The 26292-nt window shown below is 40.3% G+C and overlaps 1 protein-coding gene and 1 long non-coding RNA gene across 7 annotated transcripts in view, besides 1 other annotated feature; one reads left to right on the top strand and one right to left on the bottom strand.

Annotated features, from left to right (window-relative positions):
• Positions 1 to 26292, bottom strand: part of MAP3K2 (mitogen-activated protein kinase kinase kinase 2) — an 89798-nt gene that overhangs the window by 62422 nt on the left and 1084 nt on the right. The window contains exon 2 of one of the 5 annotated variants that reach the window (XM_047442990.1): positions 24416 to 24484. The exons of 2 other annotated variants lie outside the window; for them this stretch is intronic. The gene's annotated coding sequence lies outside the window, so the exon portion shown is untranslated. Of the gene's footprint in view, positions 1 to 24415; positions 26151 to 26292 lie in introns of those variants that run through there. 2 more of the 5 variants (XM_047442991.1, XM_047442989.1) reach the window with 2 other exon arrangements.
• LOC124906074 (uncharacterized) lies at positions 1038 to 25072 on the top strand. 2 transcript variants are annotated; one of them, XR_007087227.1, is made up of 4 exons: positions 1038 to 1133; positions 9258 to 9356; positions 24435 to 24466; positions 24991 to 25072. It is a non-coding gene; the product is annotated as an uncharacterized LOC124906074 (long non-coding RNA). The 2 variants fall into 2 exon arrangements; XR_007087226.1 differs by lacking the exon at positions 1038 to 1133 and having other exon boundaries at positions 9169 to 9356.
• Positions 18410 to 18610: a silencer, noted in NCBI's record as "peak3853 fragment used in MPRA reporter construct". NCBI's record gives its function as "represses an SCP1 promoter by STARR-seq MPRAs in K562 erythroleukemia cells {active_cell/tissue: K562}" and the evidence as "EXISTENCE:reporter gene assay evidence [ECO:0000049][PMID:32103011]".

Consider the following 26292-nt stretch of genomic DNA (forward strand, 5'->3'; position numbering starts at 1 on the left):
GATCACGAGGTCAGGAGATCGAGACCATCCTGGCTAACACAGTAAAACCCCGTCTCTACTAAAAATACAAAAAATTAGCTGGGCATGGTGGCAGGCGCCTGTAGTCCCAGCTATTCGGGAGGCTAAGGCAGGAGAATCGCCTGAACCCGGGAGGCAGAGGTTGCAGTGGGTGAAGATCACACCACTGCACTCCAGCCTGGGGGACAGAGCAACACTCTGTCTCAAAAAAAAAAAAAAAAAAAAAATTAAAAGGGAATTTAAAAAGTGTTCTCCCAACATTTTAAGTAATAATATAAAAGCAACAATATAGAGCCTCCCAGAATGAATAAAAGAAATAATACTTCCATAGATGCAATAAATTTGGTTAAGTTTTAATAACTTAATAGTCATACCACATATGTAATCTCAAATTGTTTGAATGATCACACTCCACATAAAGTGGCAGTCATTTGTAAACATGCCTGCACATCCTCAGAAAGGCAGAGAAAAATCTAATTTTCATCTAGTGGTCCCTGTGGTCCTAGTAATTATCACATTTGGGATGTATTTGCTTCCTTTCTCTTATCGAGTTTTAAAAGGTCTTTTAGTTGATAAAATGTTTTATCATTTCTTGAATTAATATTTCAAAAGAATGTGTAGTTTATTTGGCAAATAAATTTGAGTTTTTAATATTTCCTTAGGACACAAAGTATTGTAGAATGTTTTAGAGTCACATAGGGACCTGGGTTCAAAACCTAGCGGTAGTTATAGGTGACTCTCGGCTATTACAAACCCATGTCCTTGTTTATGAAATGAAGATAGAAGAGACTATATGACAGGTTTGCTTTAAGTGCTGAATAAAATAATATATAACACCTAACACAAACACCTGACACCTTATCAGATGTCAGTTCTCTTCCTCCAAACAGCTCAGTGTTAAAGGCAATATTCAACTCTAAGCGGCAAATTGATTTTTCTCCTTTTTAAGGTATTACTCAGACAATATATTTGTAATTTTTAACAGATCCCTTCTTACTCATCCATACTTTCTCTCTCAGTGGGTCATGTTACATACAAAAATAAAGACAGCAAGAAGAGCTCAGACGGTGGAACCAGACTGCTTGGGACTGAAATCGGCATTTGCCACTTACCAGGTGTGTGACCGCAGGCAAATGACTTAATCTTTCTTTGCCTTGATTTCTTTACTTGTAATATGGAGATTTATGGCATAATAGTATCTCAAGATTGCTATGGAAGTTAAACGTTTAAGTTAATGTAAAGTGCTTAGAAAGAGGCTGGCATATAGTAGTAATTATGCAAATGTTTGTTAAACAAAATTAAGTTGATACACACTTAGGGGTTTCCCCCACCCCACTTAGTTCTCAATACTGAGAATGCGGGGGAATTTGTTTTAAATGTTTACAAATGTTTACAAATCTTAATTTTTTTTCTATATTTGATTATTTTAAAGAGGAAAGAAGGTAGCTCTTAGAACAAATTTAGACTTTAAAAAAAATTCTCAATCTGTACCCTGACTGTTGTCCCTGATACTGTTATCAGGCACTAGAAAAAAAGCAACAACCCATAATTGGTTTACCAAAAACATCACTCAACTGTTTATGGACGATAATTAGCAATAACGGCTGTCAGTGCCACGGTTCCTCTGTAAAAACGGAGACAACTGTATCTACTTTATATGATTGTTACAAACATTTAATATTATTTGTAAAGCACTTAGAACAATACCAGAGCAGAGTGAACATTTAAAAAATAGCTAACATTTATTAGGTTCAGAATTTGAGCCCAATCCTGGGCAGAATCCACTTCTACACACTACAGTTGGCCCTCCCTATCTGCACATTCCGCATGTGTGGATTCAACCAACTGGAGATCGAAAACAAATTTAATTTAAAATAATGCAACAATAAAAAAACACAAAAAATGCCGTGTAACAATAATTTACACAGCACTTACACTGTGTTAGGTATTACAAGTAATCAAGAGACAATTTAAAGTATACGGAAGGATGTGTGTAGGTTGCATGCAAGTACTACTCAATTTTATATAAGAGATGTTGAGCAACTGGGGATTTTGGTATTTGTGGGAGTCGAGGTTCTGGAACCAATCCCCCGCAGATACCAAGGGATGACTGTGTATTACACTGCCTCTCGTTGTTTGTTTATTTTTTTCAACCAACATTTAACATATGCTTACTGTGTGCCAATATGCTCTCCTCACCAATCTTGATTTTAAAAATGATAAAATGCTAACATCCTCTAAAAATTAAAAATCCTTCCAAAGTAAGCAGAATTTATACCTTAATACTTTATTAATATAATAAAACCATGACCAAGGCTTCAGTCAAAATCAGTTCATATTGAACAACATATTAATATTTTGCTGATGGGAGTTTAACACTTTCTATTGCAAAACTCCCCAATGATATCAAACACAGTACTTCTCAGTCAGAATTCTGAAGTCAACACGTTGCCTGAACCTCAAACTCCAACACAAAAACCCAAGACTAGCCAATTCTCTTCAAATCAATTCCTGTAATCCTCTTCATTCCATGCTTTGTAAAAATGTTATTTGTGTAGCTGGCTGTCTTCATTATACAGGACCTTTTAAAAATGTATTTACTTATTTATTTTAGAGATAGAGTCTCACTCTGTCACCTAGCCTGGCTCAAGCAATCCTCCTACCTCAGCCTCCTGAGTAGCTAAGACTACAGGCACACACCACCATGCCTGGCTAATTTTTCAATTTTTACTAGACATGGGGTCTTGCTATGTTTCCCAGGCTGGTCTTGAACCCCTGGCCTCAAGTGATCCTCCTGCCTCAGCCTCCAAAGTACTGGGATTATAGGCAAGAGCCACCAAGCCCAGCCAGGAAACACTACTTAGGTATCTTTCTATCTCCCACAGCACCTAACAGTACTTTGCACATAGCTAGCCTATTACCAAACATCTTAAATAAATTGCAAATTTGACTCTCCTTACAACCATAACATAATATAGCACACATATGTTTCAGTCAATCTAACCTATCTGCTTTTCTCAAAGGACTTGCTATTAATAGAGCCCCCTTCCTGGTCCTTGATTTCTGCTCATCCCTTGAATACCCATCTCCCCTCTCTTTAGTAAATCTTACTACTAATTTGCATCTCAAAACAATTTACCCAGGAAACCATTCGGATAACCAAAAGAAGCAAATAGATAATCAAAAAAAGCAAAGAGTAGGAGTCAATAGGTTCTGAGTTATACTACGAAGTGTTCCATATGCCTTATTGATAGCTACTTTTTGTCTCTGTGCTGTCTGAAATGCTTCCTTTTTTCTACTTGTCCAAACCATCTTTTAAGGGCCCAGCTTAAGCCCTCCCTGTCCTCTTCACCTGGTCATCTTACCATGTATAAACGATAATGGAAAAGAATTATCGTCTGTGGACTGTCAGACGATGTGCTAGACATTTCACATACACTACCACCTAACCCTGGCTACACTGGAATGACAGCACTTGCCATCTCTCCACTCATCACACAGTCACCTTTCTGAAAGGATATTACCTCATAGAACAGCTTCCTAACTATTCCATATTTTTACATGTGCTCTCTGCCACTAGACTACAATAACCTCAAATATAGGAACTATGTCTTCTACTTTATTCTGCACTCATCTTCTTTTCCCTCCACCTTTCCCCTCATCTTTAAAAATATACCCCTCCTATTTCTCAATCTCTTCTCATTACTACTGCAATGACTACTAATAAAAGCTACTATTGACCAGGCGCAGTGGCTCACGCCTGTAATCCTAGCACTGTGGAAGGCCAAGGCAGGCAGATCACCTGAGGTCAGGAGTTTGAGACCGGCCTGGCCAACATGGCAAAACCCTGTCTCTACTAAAACTACAAAAATTAGCCGGGTGTGGTGGCACATGCCTGTAATCCCTGCTACTTGGGAGGCTGAGGTTTGAGCCCAGGAGGCAGAGGTTGCAATGAGCCGAGATCGTGCCATTGCACTCCAGCCTGGGCGACAGAGTGAGACTCTGCCTCAAAAAAAAAAAAAAAAAAAAAAAAAAAAAAAAAAAAAAGCTACTATTTATAATGGCTTGCACTGAGCAGACACTCTAAGTGTTTTACATTTGATTTCATCCTTACAACAATCCCATAAGGTAGTTATCATTTCCCTGTTTCACAGAGGAGGAAGTGGGCTTAGAGAGCTTAAGCAACTTGCTCTCTCACATTCCTATGAGCCTTGATCCATAAAACATCACTATGGACTCCCACAACTTTAACATCCCCCACTGTGTTTCTTTTCATCCTTAACTGCTGTGGCAGTTTATACTGTGTCAACCTGGTTACATCCAAACTACATTTCCCAGAATCCTCTTTCCATAGGGTAGGTGGCCCAAAGAGCAAAAGACTTTCTGAAGAGTATGGTTAGATAGAGCTGCAGTTGCCAGCCGACTGCGCAGCTCTCCTCTGCTCTGTATACAGCTCCTCTTCTTGATTGCCAACCCTGCTGACCAAACAGCAACCCCAGGTTCACCACCAAAAGCTTGACTGAGGACCACAAAAGAGGCAGCTACACAGAGGTGACAACTCTCCACAGACTTTTCACCAGCTCCAGTGTGTGGTCCCACTCCAGTAGCTGGGCATACCTGGCTTCTCAGATTCACCTGTAAACGCTGAGCTGACCACTGCACAACTGCTTCAAAGAGGCTGAATAGTAGCTTTTCTCTGACCTGCCCTACAGACTCTGACTTCTGGAGTTTCTCCCACAGCTGTATGAAGTCCTATTCCTTTCCTAAATCCCTTATTCCATAATATCATAGTAGCTCTGTTTTCTTGATTGAGCCCTTAAATGATTCAAGTACTCAAGCTTCCTCCCAATCTACTGACCAAGAAATCTCTGCAGCTTTCCCTCTGAGATCTTCTTGCATATATAACAAAATCTACATCATTTGGTCTCCAATTTGACTGCTTCCAAACAAACCTTGTTTTATCAGTTCTGCACTGTCCTCCTTTGCTTCCAAGGAACAAGTAACCCTCATTCCAAAAAAGTCGTATCTCACTACTTGATCCTCCCATTTGCAAAAAGCAATATTTAATGGAGAGAATACTAGAGTGGGTAACAGATTAACAAACGTCAATACCAATTTATTAACTAAGAACAAGATTAGCTAAAAACACTCCAGGGTTAGCCAGGTGTGGTCGTGTATGCCTGCAGCCCCAGCTACTCAGGAGGCTGAGGTGGGAGGATCCCTTGAGCCCAGGAGTTTGAGTACAGCCTGGGCAACATACAAAAACCCTATCTCTGGAAAAAAAAAAAAAAAACCCAACAAAACAAAACAAAAAGAATACTCAGAGGATACGTGTATGCTTTAGTTAGAAATGTGAAGATTGAGAAAGGAAGAACAAGAAATAAAAAATTCTGAGAAGAAAAATATTTCGTGATGTATAGTTTGTCCCAAAATGTGTTTTTCCCCCCATTTGAAGTAAGGAAGCTTCACTTTTTTATATAATCATTTTGGGCTTATCCAAGTGTCTCCCTGAATTATTTTTCGGTTGCTACTGGGCATAAAGGAAGACTGTATGTACAATTTTTCCAATACTTTTTTTCCTTCTCCAAAAAGATCTTCACCCCACTCCCTACCTTTTTGGCTAACATATTTCCAAAAATGTATTTTATTAGTCTTGGTTCTCCACTCATAACATGAGAATAATTCTGTTCTCTGTTATTTTCTAAGGCTCAATGCTTACTATTCTGGAGTTCATTACTAAGCTGTCCCACAGTCAAGGGTTTTTTTTTTTTTTTTTTTTTTTGAGACAGAGTCTCGCTTTGTCACCAGGCTGGAGTGCAGTGGCACAATCTCAGCTCACTGCAACCTCCACCTCCCGGATTCAAGCCAATCTCCCGCCTCAGCCTCCCGAGTAGCTGGGATTACAGGCATGCACCACCACACTCGGCTAATTTTTGTATTTTTATTAATATACATTACATGATCTCAGAACACATAACTAACCTACCCTTTCTCAAATCACAGGGCAAGATTATATATGAAGAGACATAACAGCTTGGGGGTGAAGTCAAAAGAATGCAGCCATGTACTGATCACAGACTGGTTGGATTAATGTCACATCATCTCTAAAAGTAGATTTTTATCAATCTAAGGCTGAGCAACCCTCTACTTATCTTGTTTCCTTATAGTATCTGAGCAACTAAGAAGTTTTGTAAATACTGTCTGACATATGTATATTATACAATAAGATATTATTAACTTTAAAAAGGAGTTAACAGGTTACTTTAAAATGCCTAATCAGAATATACATTAAAGCCATCATATGAAACATAATGTTGATCTATCTCTCCTTAAACTGAATCAGGAGACATTAGGTCTCATTTCCCTATCACATTAGAATAAAATACTTTGGATTAAAACTCCAGGCAGGGCACTGTGGCTCACAACCATAATCCCAGCACTTTGGGAGGCTGAGGCAGGCATATTACCTGAGGTCAGGAGTTTGAGACCAGCGTGGCCAACATGGTGAAACCCTATCTCCACTAAAAATGCAAAAATTAGCCAGGCGTGGTGGCACATGCCTGTAATCCCAGCTACTCGGGAGGCTGAGGCACGAGAATGGCTTGAATGCAGGAGGCGGACGTTGTGGTGAGCCAAGATCGCACCACTGCACTCCAGCCTGGGTGACAGAGTGAGACTCCGTCTCAAAACAAAACCTCCATAATACCATTAAAATGTAACAAAGCCAGTCAAACTTTACAGTAATTAGAAACTCTCAAATAATGATAATGAAACACATCTAAACACGTCTAAGTCACAAATCTAAAATAAAATATGACTTAGGAGCATCCAACTACAGTCATCCCTCAGTATCCACAAGGGACTTGTCTCAGGACCCCATAGATAACAAAATCTGCAAATGCTCAAGTCCCTCATATAAAATGGCAAGTATCGGCTGGGCATGGTGGCTCACGCCTGTAATCCCAGCACTCTGGGAGGCCGAGGCGGGTGGATCACTTGAGGTCAGCAGTTTGAGACCAGCCTGGCCAACATGGTGAAGCCCTGTCTCTACTACAAATAGGAAAATTAACCTGGTGTGGTGGTGTGCCCCTGTAGTCCCAGGTACTTGGGAGGCTGAGGCACAAGAATCACTTGAACCCAGAAGGCAGAGGCTGCAGTGAGCCGAGATCACACCACTGCACTCCAGCCTGGGTGACAGAACAAGACACTGTCTCAAAAAAATAAAAATAAGGCGGTCGGGCATGGTGGCTCACACCTGTAATCCCAGCACTTTGGGAGGCTGAGGCGGGCAGATCACGAGGTCTGGAGTTCGAAACCATCCTGGCCAACATGGTGAAACCCCATCTCTACTAAAAATACAAAAAATTAGCCGGGTGTGGTGGCATGCGCCTGTAGTCCCAGCTACTCAGGAGGCTGAGGCAGGAGAATGGCTTGAACCAGGGAGGTGGAGGTTGCAGTGAGCCCAGATCGTGCCACTGCACTCCAGCCTGGAGACAGAGTGAGACTCCATCTCAAAAATAAATAAATAAATAAATAAAAATAAAAAGGCAAAGTATTTACATATAAACTATGCATATCCTCCCATATACTTTAAATCATCTCTAGATTATTTTTAATACCTAATATAACTGCCATGTAAATAGTTGTTATAAGTTATTTTTTAAATTTGTATTTTTTTTTTCTTTTTGAGATGAGGTCTTGTGATGTTGCCCAGGTTGGCCTCGACCTCTTGGGCTTAAACAAACCTCCCGCCTCAGCCTCCAAAGTAGCTGGCACTACAGGCATTTGCCACTGCACCCAGCTTGTTGAATTGTGACTAGTATTATTATTCTCAAATATTTTATTTTTTATTTTTGTGTGGACAGAGTCTCACTCTGTTGCCCAGGTTGGAGTGCAGTGGCGGGATCTCGGCTCACTGCAACCTCCGACTCCCTGGTTCATGCGATTCCCCTGCCTCAGCCTCCGGAGTAGCTGGGATTACAGGCACGCATCACCACGCCCAGCTATTTTTTTTTTGCATTTTTAGTAAAGACAGGGTTTCACCATATTGGCCAGGCTGGTCTTGAACTCCAGACCTTGTGATCTGCCCGCCTCGGCCTCCCAAAGTACTGGGATTACAGGCATGAGCCACCGTGCTCGGCCATTCTCAAATATTTTCTATCTGTGGTTGGTTGAATCCACAGATGCAGCAGCACCTGCAGATACAGAGGACTGACTGTATTATTACAAAACAGCAAATAATAGGCTGGGCGCGGTGGCTCACGCCTGTAATCCCAGCACTTTGGGAGGCCGAGGCGGGCGGATCACGAGGTCAGGAGATCGAGACCCTCCTGGCTAACACGGTGAAACCCCGTCTCTACTAAAAAAAAAAAAAAAAAAAAAAAAAAACAGCAAATAAACAAGTAAAAAATGACTTCATCTTAGATTGGAGATCTCTTTCCAAAGACTAATAAGAAATAGTATTGACTCACATTTTTCCCACTGGCTTCCATTTAATGATTTTCAAAATTAATTTTCAAAAACTTTTCCACAGAAAACACTGTCTCCGTGGGAGGGCTGTTCACAAATACTTGTTTTTATCCTTCTGGGCATATGGAAAGATTAAATTTCCCCATCCTGTTTATATCCCAAGTACAGTCAAGAGTCTTCCTTTGGCCAGAGCTGGTGGGTGAAAGTGGTGAATGTTTCTAGGTAAAAGCTTTAAAAGCCAGAGTGTAGTCTGATATGGTCTCTTTTCTCTCTTAACTAATTAACCAGTAATGTTCCGTGTAGGAGATCAGTCAGGGTGGTGGGAAAAATTGTAGAAAGATGTAAACCTTCTTGGAAGGCTGGAAGGTTTTACAAAAGCTTCGGAAAAAGATTTGGCTGAAGGCAGCCAGATTGTCTTATCTGGTGCCTGAAACTTTAGGTTAGGTAACAAGGGGATGTAAAGAAACTCATCTAAGTAAGTTAGTTTACTTAGACCATGGAACCTGGCCTAAATCATCTGCATGCAAGACTAGCGGGGGGTGGGGGTGGGCGCAGCACGACCATGTGAATTCCCCACAAGTGTGTTGACTCAAGACCTTTGTCATTAAATCTATACTGAATAAATGCCCGCAGCGCAAGCACAGGCTTGTCAGGGCCTCAGCCGCTGACTCTTTATACACCCTCCTCAGTGTCTGTGGGCGGCCCAGTCCCCTAGCCCACTCTTTCACTGGCTTCCTGTGTCTGAGTTCATTTGTTCATCTGTTGTTCAGCCAGGGTCTGCGGGTCGGACCCGGAAGGTAGAGCCCTGTGTGAGGAATGCTGCAACAGATCACAACAGAACCCTTGAAAATGAAGGTGAAAAAACTGCGGTCAGTAAGTCACTGTTGCCTGCTCTGAATTTCCAAGTTCGAGGGAATTGCTCAGGCTAGGGTTTCATCAAGGGACAACAGTTATCAGCTCAACAGAAACAGTATATAAAAGTATTTAAAAAGCTGCTTAAAGCTAGTGGAGCCTGGGTTTCACAGGCTCAATTAAGGGACCTAATGCAAACTGTTGTATCCCATAACCCATGGTTCCTGGAAGAAGGTACACTAGCCATAGAGCTCTAGGAACAAGTGGGGAGAAATCTTAAACATCATGCACAAGGACAACAGGTCCCAGTAACATCTTTAACATTATGGGCTTTAGTTAGGGCAGCTCTGGCCCCGTTATACACAGAAGAGCCTAAAAAGGGGAGGGAGGAGGAACCATCATCTACCTTACTGCCTCCTTATCCCTCAGCCCCGCTATCACCGGGCCAAAATAACAAAGAGGAAACGGAGGTTTTGCCTGAGCCCCCTCCTCCAATAAACTAGAAGAAAAGACAAGGGATATGCTACAGCTGGGGGACCCTGTCTTAAGCAAGTGGCATTAGAAGGGGAGCTCTTAGCCTGCCCAGTAATGCAAGAACGACAATGCAATCAGGTACATGAACCCATTTCTTTTAATGCTTATAAAAAGCTAAGAAAAAGCATTAAAGAAAACAGAGCCGCTAGCCCATTTCCTTACGAAAGGAATGACTGAAGCCTTGGCAGACAACTTCCGTATGACCCCATGGGACTGGTCAGTGCTAGCTAAAACAATTTTGGAGGCCAGCCAGTACCTCCTCTAGAGGGCAGAATACGATGAGTTGTGCGAACAACAAGCCAACCAGAACGAGGTGGCCGTGCAAGATGTAACAGCTGCTATGCTCCAGGGGAGGCGTCCCCATGCCGATGTACAACAACTAATTTTGATCCCCAGGCCTATGCACAAGTGTCTTTGTGCGCTCTCGGGGCTTGGGACAGAATTTCCAAAAGCAGAGATCAACAGGGATCTTTTATAAATGTTCGACAAGGGCCTCAGGAGCCATTTGTTGAATTTATCAATCGTTTAACCCAGGCAATTAAGAGACAAATTAGTCACACCCAGGACTGATATCTTGTTACAATTGGCTTATAAAAACGCTAATGTGGATCGCCAACAAGCAATGCATGCAATCAGAGGAAAGGCAGCCACAGTCAGGGAACTTACACAAGCATGTCAACTGGTGGGGACTGAAACACACAAAGCCAAAATATTGGCTATGGCATTAAGGCCTCCTAAAGTGAAAAGGGAGGGAAACCCAAATTGTTTTCTATGTGGAGAGGCAGGTCATATGAAGAGGGAATGTCCCAATAATAGAGACCAAGGTAACTCAGGAAAAGAACCCCCTTCTATATGACTGCAATGTAAAAAGGGGAAACATTGGGCAAATCAATGCAAGTCCAAATTTGATAAAAACGACAACTCCGTAAGTAACCAGGCGGGAAACTTCATGAGGGGCTGACCCCAGGCCCTGCTGCAAACTGGGGCAATGTCAGTGGCTTTCCTCTGTCAGATGGAAAGCCCACAGTCCTCTCTCTCAGAGCAACCACCACTGGGAGCGCAAGACTGGACTTACTCTGCCCCGATGAATTAGTGCTAAAAGAAGGAGAAGACACTAAAAGGGTTGCAACCGGGATCTGGGGCCCACTGCCTCTGGGAACAGTGGGATTAGTCCTAGGGCAATCTAGCCTATCCAGTAAAGGAATCAATGTGCTCACTGGGGTAACTGATAGTGATTATTGAGGTGAGATACTAGTTATGATGGAATGTAAAGGTCTGCATATTTCTTCCCCCGGGATCAAAGACAGCTCTGTTACTGCTTTTACCATACTGGGTCCCCAATGCCCAGAAAGGGGGAAAGGGACGTTTTGGAAGCACAGGAGCCACAAAAGTACACTGGAATCAATTAATCACTAACCAGAGACCCATGATCACCTTAAAAATTGGAAATAAGAATTTTACTGGCTTATTGGACACACGGATGGATATTTCAAACATTAATGATCAAAACTAGCCAGAAACTTGTCCTTGGGTCACTCAGAAACAAAAAATTGTTGGCATTGGGGAAGCGCACACAGCCAAGCAGAGCACGTGCCCCCTAACCTGTTGCGATTCAGAGGTAAGAAAGGCAGTTATACAACCTCAACTCATGCCCTTCCCTGTTAACCTTTGGGGACGGGACCTATTAGCCCAATGGGGGGGTCACTCTGCAGACCTCTTTCTAATAATGGCCACAGTTATTCCTCCCCTACCCTTGACATTGCTCTCTCAAAATCCTATTTGGGTAGAATAGTGATCTTTAAAGGGAAAGAAATTACAAACAGCCCGTGAATTAGTTGAGGGGCAACTAAAAGCCAGCCATACAGAACCATCAAACAGCCCCTGGAATTCACCCATTTTCGTCATTCCCAAAAGGTCTGGTAAATGGAGACTTTTGCACGACTTATGTGCTATCAATGCTAATTTGCAACCTATGGGGCCCCTTCAGCAGGGGCTCCCCTCCCCCACGGCCATTCGACATTGGCCTATAATCGTTACTGACTTAAAAGACTGCTTTTATACTATTCCCCTAGCAGAAGAGGACAGAGAAGAATTTGCATTTACAATACCAGCAATCAATAATGAAAGGCCAGCTCCCTGATTCCAATGGAAAGTGCTTCCCCAAGGAATGCTGAACAGTCCTACCATGTGTCAGTATCATGTAAATCAGGCTTTCTCCCCAGTAGAAAAGAATTTCCTAATGGCAAGATTATTCATTTTATGGATGATATTTTACTAGCAGCCCCAACAGAGCCAGTGATTTTAAGGTTATATAACTCTGTAGCAAAGAATACACAGTTAAGAGGTTTAATCATAGCACCTGAAAAAGTACAGATGTCTTCTCCTTGGAAATATCTTGGATACAGACTAATTTCTTGCTAAGACCTCAAAAGCTTAAATTAGATACTAGCAACTTACACACCTTAAATGATTATCAGAAATTACTAGGTGATATTAACTGGCTTTGCCCCACCCTAGGCATAACTACTGATAAGTTACAAAACTTGTTTTCTATCTTAAAAGGCAATGCTGCCCTAGACTCTCCTAGGTATTTAACTCCTACGGCACAAAGGGAAATTGAAGAAGTAGAGCAATTTATCTCTCAAAGGCAATTAGATCGCACAGATCCATGATATTCAGTTCAGCTGTTTGTTTTTCCCACTAAACACTCCCCTACAGGGTTAACAAGACAGATGGGCCCAGAGCTATGCTTTCTAGAATGGGTTTTTTGCTCACATACCGGGACTAAAACACTCTCTCTCTATGTCCAGTGAGTCAATAAAGTCATCTATTCAGGCCTCAGACAATGCAATCAGTTGCTAGGTTATGACCCTGATATCATCAGGATTCCTTTAAGTAAAAAGCAATTTGAAGCAGTATTACCCTTATCTATGGACCTGCAAACAGCACTCTCTGATTACACAGGCCTTATAGGGCATACCCTTCCTGCTGACAAACTCCTTCAGTTCTTATCTCGTACTTCTGTTGTTTTGCCTACTAAAATAGTTCAATCCCCCATACCTAATGCTTTAACATTGTTTACTAATGGCTCTGGTAAACATGGAAAAGCGGCTGTCTGGTGGAGATCACATAATTCCCTCACTCATTCTGGATTTACTAGCACTCAGAGAGCTGAGATTGGAGCCTTAATATTAGCCTTAGAAACTTTCTCCACTCAGCTCATCGATATTGTTAGTGACTCTGCTTACTGTTTATTTATTGCAGAACTTTGAGACGGCCTTCATTAAGACCACTCTGGAGCCCACCCTGTGTGCACTTTTTCTCCGACTTCAGCAACTGCTAGATCAATGTATACATCTTATTTTTATTACACACATTCGGGCCCACAGCTCACTGCCTGGCCCACTGGCTTATGGCAATGATCAAGCAGACCTACAGGTTATGACATCACTGCCTGACCAAGCCACCCAATTGCAACAATTTTTCCACCAAAACTTGAGAAACTTATCTAAACAATTTCAACTTACCCAGAGACTAGCTAAACAAATTACCCTACAATGCCCAGATTGCCAGTTCACAGGCACATCCCCTCCTTCAACAGGTGTTAACCCTAGAGGACTAGAACCTAATCAGTTTTGGCAAACAGATGTTACACGCATCCCTGAATTTGGAAAACGTAGATATGTACATGTATCCATTGATACCAATTCTCATTTAATTAGTACTCATGCTCTTCCTGGAGAGTCCACCCGATATGTCATTAAACATCTTCTTTTAACTTTTGCATTTATGGGACGGCCCACAGAAATTAAAACTGATAATGGTCTGGCTTATGCCAGCTCACAATTTCAACAATTTTGTCACACATGGAACATCCAACATTCCACAGGCATCCCGTATAACTCCCAAGGACAGGCCATAGAACGTACCCAATCCAGCCTTAAAAATATGCTCAGAAAACAAAAAAGGGGGAATATGAATAAGGACCCTGCAACACTACTAGCACAAGCCTTATTTACCCTTAATTTTTAAAATTTAAATAAATTTCAATCAGCTGTAGAAAAGCACTTTGCTAAAACCTCTCAAGAAATAAAACCTGCAGTTTTATGGAAAGACGTAAACAGTAATGTATGGTATGGTCCAAATGAATTGTTAACGTGGGGGAGAGGATATGCTTGTGTTCACACCCCCTCAGGTCCTCTTTGTATTCCAGCATAATGCATCGAACCATACCATGGTGTGGCTAGGACCCAACCCAGTACCAGAAATAAAGAAAATAACCCTATGGGACCCATAGCCCCGAACAATGTGGCTTCATCAGACAACACAGGCCCCGGACAGGATGCTCAAGAAGACAAGTCAGAAGACTGAGTGAATCCTGCTCTGGACACAGACACCATTCACTCCAGATAATCTGCTCCTTGTTATGCTTTATTATTATTTATTTATTTATTTATTTTTTTTTTGAGACAGAGTCTCACTCTGTCACCAAGCTGGAGTGCAGTGGTGCGATCTGGGCTCACTGCAACCTCTGCTTGCCAGGTTCAAGTGATTATCCTGCCTCAGCCTCCCAAGTAGCTGAGACCACAGGCACATGCCACCATATCCAGCTAATTTTTGTATTTTTAGTAGAGATGGGGTTTCACCATGTTAGCCAAGATGGTCTCAAACTCTTGACCTCGTGATCCACCTGCCTCAGCCTCCCAAAGTGCTGGGATTAATTCTCTCACTCTGCCTGCAACTAGTACCTGCTACACTCTATTTGGCCCATCCTCTAAATCCGCCTTTCTTCTGCCCTGTTACTTAGACAAATACCCGACCTTCCCAGCTTCTAACAACGTGACTGCTTGGCTGAGAGAGATTAACATAACCCCAGTGGGGTTCCTTAGTAACAGCACACAATGAACTGAACTGCTGAGTAACAATATAGGTCACTCCTTGATTGGAAAAAAAAAAATGTTGATTATACTCAAGTTTGTCTTATGTTATTTACTAATGCTAGGATGCAAAGCTGGAATATGAGCAGTTACCACCACGCCTGACAAACCTACTGCACATATCTGTACTCTCCTATCAACAAAACCTGATGCTAAAAACAGAAAAGGGAGAGATGTAGGAGATCAGTCAGGGTGATGGGAAAAACTGTAGGAAGATGCAAACCTTCTTGGAAGGCTGTAAGGTTTTTACAAAAGCTTCGGAAAAAGATTTGGCTGAAGGCAGCCAGATTCTCTTATCCGGTGCCTGACAGTTTAGGTTGATAAAAAGGGAATGTAAAGAAACTGATCTAGATAAGTTTACTTAGACCTTGGAACCTGGCCTTTAATCATCCACGTGCAGGACTACTGGGGTGGGAGGGTGGGAAGGGGGGGAGCGCAACCATGTGAACTGCCCACCAGTGTGTTGACTCAAGGCCTTTGTCATTAAATCTATACTGAATAAATGCCGGCAGCGCAGGCTTGTCAGGGCCGCAGCTGCTGACTCTTTACAGCACCCTCCTTGGTGTCTGTGGGTGGCCTGGTCCCCTAGCCCGCTCTTTCACTGGTTTCTGGTGTCTGAGTGCACTTGTTCATCCATCATTCAGCCAGGGTCTGCGGGTTGGACCCAGCAGTTCCGTACAGGGGCTGCTCCCATGTGAGGTCCCAAAGTGGGACCCAAAGTAAGGATGACAAAAATGTTGAGCTGAGCCCCCAGCTGACCCTCAATGAATACATGGTATGAGCAAAACATACACCTTCTGTTGTTTTAAGCCACTGAGATATTGGGGTTTTTGTTCACAGCCTACTCAGAATAATAGTCTACAACTAGTTAAAAATCATGCTGATGCTGTGCATGGTGGCTCACACCTATAATCCCAGCACTTTGGGAGTCTGAGACAGGAGGATCGCTTGAGCCCAGGTGTTCAAGACCAGCCTGAGCAATACAGAGACCCTACCTCTACAAAAATTTAAAAATTAGTTGGGTATAATGGTGTGCCTGTAGTCCCAGCTACTCAGGAAGCTGAGGTGGGAGGAATGCTTGAGTCTGGGAGGTCGAGGATGCAGTGAGCAGTGATCCTGACACTGCACTCCAGCCTGAATGATAGAGCGAGATCCTGTCTCAAAAAAAAAAAAGAAATCATACTGAAAATACCCAATGTTCACTCTATTCATTTTAAGAAATTAAAATAAATACTTTAACTATGGACATTAAACTCTCCCATATTACTTCTCTTAGAGATCAGAAAAATGAACCCACTTCCCATAAAATTTATTTAAAATAGACGAGTTTATTGTCATCCCACTGAAAAGTATATGTAATACAAATAAAGAAATAATTCTAGTTTACTCAAATATTTATCAGAACTCTGACTTAGCAATTATAAAAAAATGTGGGCAATTATAAAAGCAATTATAAAAGCTATTTAGAATAGCATCTAAATTTCAGTGGTTTTTTTTTTTTTAAACTACATTGGCCCTAGCCCCAGAAGATTCCAGTGCACACATTCATCACAGAGAATATATGTATTCCAGTGCGTATAGTCATTATAGAGAATGATGAATATAATGAGAATATGAGCAATGTGGAGGCAGTGGGAATGTTAGGAACCTTTGCTCTAACTGGAAGAGCCACACAAAATCCCAACTGCACTATGTGACTCTGAGCCTTACCTGTAAAATCAGAAAAATATGATATACCATAGTTATTAAGTTTAAAAATGTAATATGAATTTTCTGGCACACAGTAGACAATCAAATATTATCTCTGCTTCCTAAGATACGGTTTGAAATTTGTAGAAAATTGTATGATAGCTTCAATGCCAGAAGACATGTCTTTATAAAACAGGAAGAGAAAGCCAAATGGGAGGCTAGGCTGAGATGCAAGACAAAGACAACGTGAAAAAGGAAATGGGTGAAATCTAGGACTACCAAGATAATACAGATTCAACTGCAGAATAAAATACTTGCCCAGGAGCCAGAGGTTGCAGTGAGCTGAGATCACACCACTGCCTTCCAGCCTGGACAACATAGAGAGACCTTGTCTCAAAACAAACAATAACAGCAACAAAAACTGTGAGACAAAAAATATTTTTAATAGATACTAGAGGGAATAAGGAAAAGAACTACTGATGTGGCTACAGAGATTAAACCTAAGAAGCTTTACCAGAATGCAAAGATACTGAGAGAAGATGACAGACATGGAAAATGGAGATCTAAAAAACTACACATCCTCAAGGAACCAGAATACAAAGAAAAACCAAAGGTACAAATTTTAAAAACTTGAAAGAGCTGAAACAAAACTGGTACATTATTATTACGTAGTGCTGAATCCTTTGTTTAAATATCTGTATAATACTTTCTCAATTACTCAGAGATACTAGAAAGCAAGGCAACAATATTTTCTCTTATCCAACATCCTTAACAAACTAATTTGGCAAATTAAACAACACTCTCCATTCTCTCCAACAAATTACTGAACATTCACCACTAGTGAAGCTTACTTTTTATCAAACCAATACATTTATGTTCCCATCAACTTACCGAAAATTAGTTATATTTATAATTTACAGTTTGTAACATAATTTTTTATGATAAAATAACATTCAGTTTAAATATTATATAAATCAGTAAAATTGTAAATATGAAGAGTTGATTCTATAAAAATGAACCTGAATTTTAGAAAAACTCAACAGCTAGTCACAAAAACTGTTAAATCAGGTACAGGTGAATCAACTGTAAAAGACTAGGAGGAAAAAATCATACGTCTCTAGATGGATCATATACTCAGACTGCTTTACATCTATATGGTTTTTGTGTTTGTTTGTTTTCTGGGTTTTTCTGTTTTTGAGATGGGGTCTCACTCTGTTACCCAGACCGGAAAGCAGCGGCATGATCACTCCTCACTGTAGCCTGGACCTCCTGGGCTCAAGCAATCCTCCCACCTCAGCCTTTTGAGTAATCCTCCCACCTCAGCCTTTTGAGTAGCTGGAACTACCGGCGTGTGTGCTATCACGTCTGGCTAATTTTGTGGGGTTTTTTGTTGTTTTTTTTTTTTTTTTTTTTTGGAGAGACAGGGTTTCCTCATGTTGCCTAGGCTGGTCTCAAACTCCTGGGCTCCAGCGACCCACCCACCTTGGCCTCCCAAAGGGTTGGGATTACAGGCATGAGCCATGGTGCCTGGCCTCTATGTTTTCTTAAACAAAATAAACATTTAAGGTAGAATGTATCATTTGTATTCCCCTTATATTAATAACTTTTTTAAATTTAATAAATACTACCTCCCAATCACATTAAATAAGAGAGCTTCTTTGTACATCAAAATAGACAGAATCTATGTGGATTATGAGAGATTTTTACAATAACTGATAATGTTTTTGGAATACTTATTATATGCTAGGCACCGTCCTAAACATATTATCTCACTTAAACCTCATTTAAAAACCCCATGAATTAGACACTATACCCCAATTTTACAGAGGAGTGAGGCTTAGAGAGTGGAGCTCAGACTCACACTCAGGTCTAGATCCCAAGCTCATAATCTTAGCTATTCACTACCTTTATTTTCTTTATCTTTTCTGTATTTTAAAGTTTTCTTCAATACACATTATAAGCACAGTCGGTTAACGTATAAGGTTTGTTAACTTAGTTCAACTGTTGATGACTCTTCAAGGCCTTCTGGAAATACCATCTCCACTCTGGTACACAGCTGGTACTCAATGAATTATATAGTATTATATAAATGTCAAAGAATGTTTTTATATTGCTTGATGAAAGATATATTACACATCTAATTTTCTCATTGCCCTGATAAAGCAAGAAAAGCAGCATGTTAGGAGCACGTATTCTAGAGCCAGGCTGCCTGAGTTCAAGTCCTAGCTCCACCACAGACAAGATGTGTGAACCTAAGCAAGTTGCTTATTGTCCCTGTGCTTCAGTTCCCTCATCTGCACTACAGATATAGTAACAGTAACTAATTCCACTGGGTTGTTGTAGGGATTAAATGAATTAAAATCTTAAAAGCAGTACTGAAATCAGTGCCTAGAACACAGAAAATTACATTTAACTAAAGTAAAACCAGTATCTCGTGGGAGAAAAAAAGAAACAAAGGAAACTCAACCAGTAAATTCAAACCAAAACTTCTGTAAATCATCAATGATTTTGGGAGGCATCACCTTTTAAGTAATCTTACAGCACTGCAAAAGGAGATCCCTGCTGTCTGCACTGTGCTAGGTACTGGAGTACCAAACAACAAAACGCTGCCTCTGTTCTTGATGAGCTAACTTACTACTGAACGACACATCAATGATTATAGTGCAATGTGGCAAGTACAATGGTAGAGGCAAGTGTGCACAGAGTGCTCTAGGAGCATTCTCAGTGACAATAAAGGGACCTAATTTGAGAATGATCCAAAGAATACCGATAAAATATATTAAACTATTCTTTTGTCATTATTAACTATTAAAGTTCACACTAAATGACTAACCACACAAATGGAAAAAATTCCAAAGTTTATAAACCTCGTAGTGCTTTTTAAATTTATGGTACTATGAATCTCAAACAAATAATTGTTGACCACTTGTAAGAAAACCAGTAAGCTAGTGACAGTAGGGAATCTAAAGATTCTAACCCTATCCTCCTATTAGTTGGGAAGGCAAGGTATAAACAACAACAACAAAGTAAGAGTTAAGACCTAATCTTAACTCTTTAACCTAAGAGTTAAGTAACAATAAAGGCAACAATACAAGAAATATTACAAAGCAACCATGTAATTAACTACCAAGAGAAATATAGTCAACCAATGTTCCAAATCAATCCCAGGAATATCCAAGACAAAAGACAAACTTAACATTTCTTGTTAAGTGTGTGTAGATATAGATATATAGATACATCTCACACAACACTTTGAGAATAAGAGGAAAGGTTTTTTAAGTTCAATTTTGTATTACATACATTTGATTTACTTATAACTGGCTTCATAAAAATGAAGTTCACTACAAACATATCTCATCAGAAATTCATTCTTTATTCATAAATGTTTACTAAAGCAATCACTATGAAATAAGAACATGCAGTAAAGTTTAAAAATTTATCCTTCTTTTTTTCCTGATTTTTGATACAGGGTCTTGCTATGTTGCCCAGGATGCCCTCCAACTCCTGGGCTAAAGGGATTCTCCTGCCTTAACCTCCTGAGTAGTTGAGGCATGCACCACACAGCCCAGCTCAAAAATTTGTAATTCTTAAACTTCATATAATGGTAGGAATGATCTTCTGACTCTCAATCCAGTGTTCCTCCCATTACATCAGAAAATAGACAATTTTCTCAAAATGTATTTTAGTAGATCCACCCTTCCTTTATATTGTATTTCTGGGTTATTCTTGTGCAGTAGATGTTATCTAAGAAAAATTTAAATGCACTTCTTAAGAGTACAGAAGACCAGCATTGAGTTATTCCCATTTTTCAAGCCAGGTTTCTTATAAAATTCGTAACAAACGATACTTTGAATACTTTGTTAAAATCTTTAAAATCCACAAAATCAGATTCTGATTAACCTAGCTGGATATTTTTTAATTCCTGTGATTTGTTTCCATCTATAGACCAACAAACATTTATTAACACTGAAATTTAAAAGTTAGCCTGACAAGGATCAGCAAAAGATACCACAACTATTAGGTAAAAGATCACTGGAGAACAGGCTAGCATTACAGTGCTAATTTATCATGCCACAGATTACTTGCTGACTGCAGTGAGAAAAATATACCTCACCTTACTCCTCTCAACCAAGCAATCAAACTTAGTATCACAAATAATGGGACTGCACAGTGTACGTCTCCTAATGGGAGGCATATAAAATATATTAAATCACTTATTAGGTATTCTTGTCCAAAATGTTGAAATTAAAACTAATCGACCCTTTAAATCTAGTTTACACTTAACAACTGGTATGGGGGAATACAGGAACAAGCTAAACAATGCTATGACGGGGGGAGGGGGGTGGAATCTGACAAATCGAGAATATGAGTCACTTTATAAGACAACTGTCTTGATCTCTTAAAAAAAATCATTGTCATTTTTAAAGGGTGTAAGAGGTGAGACTGCTGTAGACTATAAGAGATCAAAAAGCCTTAACAACTAAATGCAATGAATAAACTTTGATGAAATCCTGATTTGGTGGGGATGGGTGTACAAACCACAAATGACAATTCAGTACGAATGAGATGTAAATATGGATATATATTAGAGTATATGAAAGAAGTATCGCACCTAAGAAAAGTAACAATAATGGTATTTTGGCTATGTAAGAAAATGTCCTTAACTTTAGGAGATGCATGTGACATATTGAGAGGTAAAATGTCATAATGTCCATAGCTTAGTTTCAAAGAGTTCAGCTGAAAATAATATACAAGTATATCTCATTTTATTGAGCTTCATTTTATTCTGCTTCATAGTGTTTTTTAAAAAAAGATATCTGGAAGTGTTTATTTCTCCTTTATTTTTGAAATACATAGTTCCAGGATCTAGAATTCTAGTTTGATAGTTTTCTTCTTTCAGTAGAGGTATACCTTGTTTTATTTCACTTTTCATTGTGCTTCACAGATAATAATGTGTTTTCTTACAAATTGACTCACTCTATTGCCCAGGATGAAGTGCAGCAGCACGATCTTGGCTTACTGCAGCCTCCATCTCTTGGGTTCAAGCAGTTCTCCTGCCTCAGCCTCCCAAGTATCTGGGACTACTGGCACCTCGTCCCACTAATTTTTGTATTTTTAGTAGAGACAGGGTTTCACCATGTTGGTCAGGCTGGTCTTAAACTCCTGACCTCAGGTGATCCGCCTGCCTTGGCCTCCCCAAGTGCTGGGATTACAGGCATGAGCCACTCTACCCAGCAGATGTCGGTATATTGATAGGGGTTGCCTTCAATCTGCAGATTGCTTTGAGTAGTGTATTAGGCCATTCTTGCATTGCTCTTAAGAAAAACCTCAGGCTTGGTAATTTATAAAGAAGAGAGGTTTAATTGGCTCACGGTTCAGCAAGCTGGACTGGAAGCATGGTGCTGGCACCTGCTTGGCCTCTGGTGAGGTCTCATGACATAAGGCAAAGTGGGAGCAAGGACCTCACTTGGCAAGAGCAGGAGCAAGTGAGAGAGTGGAGAGATGCCACACATTTTTAAACAACCAGATCTCACATGAACTTGCTCATCATCAAGGGGACGCTGCTAAGCCATTCATGAGGCACCCACCCCCATGATCCAGTCACCTCCCACCAGGCCCCACTTCCAACACTGGGGATTGCATTTCAACATGAGACTTGGAGGAGACAAATAAACAACCCATATCAGGTTGTATGGTCACTTTGACAAAACTGATTCTTCCAATCAACGAGTATGGGATGTTTTTCCGTTTGTCTGTGTCATCTAGAATTTCTTACATCAGGACTTTGTAGTTCTCCTTATAGAGATCTGTTACCTCCTTGGTTAAATACATTTCTAGGTGGATTTTTTCTTTTTTTGAAGATTGCTTTCTTGATTTAGTTTTCAGTTGGATCGTCATTGGTGTATAGAAATGCTCCTCATTTTTGTACACTGATTTTGTATTGACACTTTACTGGATTATTTGTCAAATTCAAGAGGTTTTTGGTGGCATCCTTAGGTTTTTCTAAATATGACAGAGATCATGTCATCAGGGAATAGGGTATTTTGACTTTTCCAACTTGGATGCATTTCCTAATTTAAGAAATACAGCCAGGACAGTGGCTCATGCCTGTAATCTCAACATTTTGGGAGGCCAAAGTGGGAGGACCATCTGAGGCAAAGAGTTTGCAACCAGCCTGAGCAACACATTGAGATGCTAACTCTAAAAATAGAAATAAAAATAAAAAAATTAGGCTAGCCTGAGCCAGGCTCAGATGTTCTTCTAGCATTTTTTTGGCAACAAATAATTTTTTTTTTTTTTTTTGAGATGGAGTCTCGCTCTGTCACCCAGACTGGAGTGCAGTGGCGCCATCTCTGCTCACCGCAAGCTCCACCTCCCGGGTTCACGCCATTCTCCTGCCTCAGCCTCCCGAGTAGCTGGGACTACAGGCACCCGCCACCATGCCCGGCTAGTGGTTTTTTTTGTTTGTTTGTTTGTTTTGTATTTTTAGTAAAGACGGGGTTTCATCCTGTTAGCCAGGATGGTCTTGATCTCCTGACCTCGTGATCTGCCCGCCTCGGCCTCCCAAAGTGCTGGGATTACAGGCGTGAGCCACCGTGCCCGGCCAACAAATAATTTTTAATTGATATATATATATATATATATATTGCTTTTTTAGAATGTCATTGCACACTTAACAGACTACAGTATATTGTAAACATAACTTTATACGCACTGTGAAACTAAAAAAAGAAAAACAAACGAAATACATTTTGTAAGGCTATAACTACCATAGACAGTGATCAGATTCTTCTGACAGATCTGAGCAAAGTAAATTGAAAACCTTCTGGAAAGGATTCATCATTCTAGATGCCATTAAGAACACTGATGATTCATGGGAGGAGGTCAAAATATCAACATTAACAGGAATTTGGAAGAAGCTGATTCCAGCCCTCATGGATGACTTTGAGGGGTTTAAGACTTCAGTGGAGGAAGTAACTGTAGATGTGACGGAAAGAGCAAGAGAACTACAATTAGAAGCAGAGCTAAAACTTGAACAGATGAAAAGTTGCTTCTTATGGATGAGGAAACAAAGTGGCCTTTTTTTTTTTTTAAGACAGGGTCTTGCTCTGTTGCCCAGGCTGGTCTGCACTGCCACAGCTCACTGCAGCCCTGACCTCCCCTCCCCGGCTCAAGCACTCTCCCTGCTTCAGCTTCCCAAATCACCACAACCGGCTAACCTCTATATTTTTTTAATGGGATTTTGCCATGTTGCCCACGCTGTTCTTGAATTCCTTGGCGCAAGCAATCCTCCTGCCTCAGCCTCCCAAACTGCTGGGATTATAAGCGTGACCCCATTACGCCTGGACAGAAAGTGGCTTCTTGAGATGGAATCTACTCCTAGTGAAGATGATGTGAATATTATTGAAGTAGCAACAAAGGACTTAGATTACAAAAACTTAGTTGATAAAGCAACGATAAGCAACTTAGATGATAGGTGATAAGCAATTAGTTGATGAAGGGTTTGAAAGGACTGACTCCAATTTTGAAAAATGTTCTATGGTGAGTAAAATGTTATCAAACAGTATCACATGCCAGAGTGAAATCTTTCCTGAAAGGAAGAGTCCATCGATGCGGCAAACTTCACTAATGTCTTACTTTAAGAAATTGCCTCAGCCATCCCAAACTTCAACAACCACCCCTTATCAACCATCCTTACTAGTCAGCAGCCATCAACATGGAGGCAAGACCCTCCACCAGCAAAAAGATTACAATTCCCTAAAGGCTCAAATTTCTTTAGAAATTTTTAGCAATAAATAATTTTTTAATTAAGGTATATACTTTTTTTAGACATAATGCCATTGCACACAATAGACTACAGTATATTGTAAACATAACTATATGCACCGTGAAACTAAAAAGTTTATGTGACTCACTTCTTTTCCTTTATTGCAGTGGTCTGGAACCAAAGCCACAATCTCTCTAAGGTATGCCTGTACATGTACCTATAGATAAAGCAAATATGGCAAGATAACAACAAATGTTTAATCTAGAGGGTCAAGATACAAGTGGTTTACTATTACCAAATTTTCTGTATGCTTGAAATTGTTTGATAATAAAAAGTGGGAGGTGGGGGGAAATAGCTCCAATTCTATAGGGAAAGAGAAAATCAACCTGAAACCAACGCTGTAGGAAATGCAGAGTATCAAACATGACTTTATTTTAATACAGCACCTGTTAGTTTAACCCTTTGGTACCAATAAAGTAAACTAGAAACAAAAGCTCCCCCTAAAACATTGCTTATAAGACTCAGTCTCTAATGCAATCCAATTATTTAAGATAAGCCTTTAACAGCTAGTTTCTCAAAAGAGGCACATGGATAACCATTCTATAATGATATCATATACAACATAATTCAATAAGATTCAACATGTTTATATTTTAACCAAACAACAAATCAATCTGTAAACCATCCACATGTTAACTTTGTAATTTCACCTTTTCTCCACAGAGACTGCAAGACCACAAATTTTCTTCAACTTGATAATATACTAGGAAAATTACAGAGTAATATAACTGGGCATCAATAGATTTGTTAAACATTTGCAATTATGCATAGAGCTTCAATTACTCAAAGGAAATGTATCGACTTTTTTTCAGTACAGAGCTCTGGCTCCTTATTTTTTCCTCTCACCATAGTTTTAAAAAATACAAAACTCATGCTAAAATGAGAATTTTCAGTTAACTTATAAACACTGACTAGTAGCACTCCATACAAATGAAAAAGAATCACACCATCAAACTTCCTACGATATTCTACGCATTAAAATTTGACATCGAACTAAAAAAGATTGCATAAGACAACGAACAAATCACTAAATTGCCACATAATCCAGCAACAAATTTTGCAACAAGGAAATCTCAAGCAAATAACCCAACTGTGAGTTCCCTTTGGGCATCAAGGTCAAACTACAAAAGTAAATTTGTGACTTTTCAAGATCTATGCAGTTTTACCAAATGTATTTATTTTTTGTGAGAGAATAATTTTTTTCTGTCCAGTACTAGTACATAAAAAGTAAAGGTATCTGAAGCCATCTTTTAAATTTTTTTTAAAGCCAAGAAAATGATTTGGCAAAAGATATCGAAGAGCTTACGTTAGGGAAAACTAAACTGTATCTGTCTATGTGTTTAGAATTTATCCCATTAAAGAAACTGCCCAGTTAGTCTCATTTTCTAAACGTATTTATTTTTTGCAAGACGAGAAATACAGTCTTACAAAAAGACATCTGCATATTCGAACCAAGCCTTCCTGGATTACTACCTTCATGACCTTGGACAAATGCCTTAATCTCTCTGAGCCTCAAGTTTTCACCTGCAAAATGGGGCAATTTACCCACCTCATTGAGCTGGGAAGATGAAGAGAGATAATGCATGACAACTGCCGGGCGCAGACTAAGAGCACCCTAAGTGCTACCTAAATATTCCGTAAAGAGAAAAGGGGGAAACAACCTTACATCAAAAGATTACCACACTGTGACAGTGCAAAGACAAGCACTTTTTCGCTTACTGCATGTACCATTTCTGCTTCATCCCAAGACCAGATGCAACCTTTCTTCTAAAATCTCTGCAGGGTACGTGTCTGACAGCTAACACAGCCCAGCAGCCTACTTCGCGCTGACCTGGGCTTTAGGACTGGATGCAGGGGGCCCAAGGTCCGCCCTCCCGCAGCTAGGCAATCACCCAGCGAAATCTCCGCCCCTGGAGCGGCGCTTAGGCCGCCGCCAGCCCCCCTCCCGGCGCCCAGCCCGCGGCC

The sequence above is a fragment of the Homo sapiens genome, chromosome 2 (genome assembly GCF_000001405.40).
Source record: "Homo sapiens chromosome 2, GRCh38.p14 Primary Assembly".
Classification (NCBI taxonomy): Eukaryota; Metazoa; Chordata; class Mammalia; order Primates; family Hominidae; genus Homo; species Homo sapiens.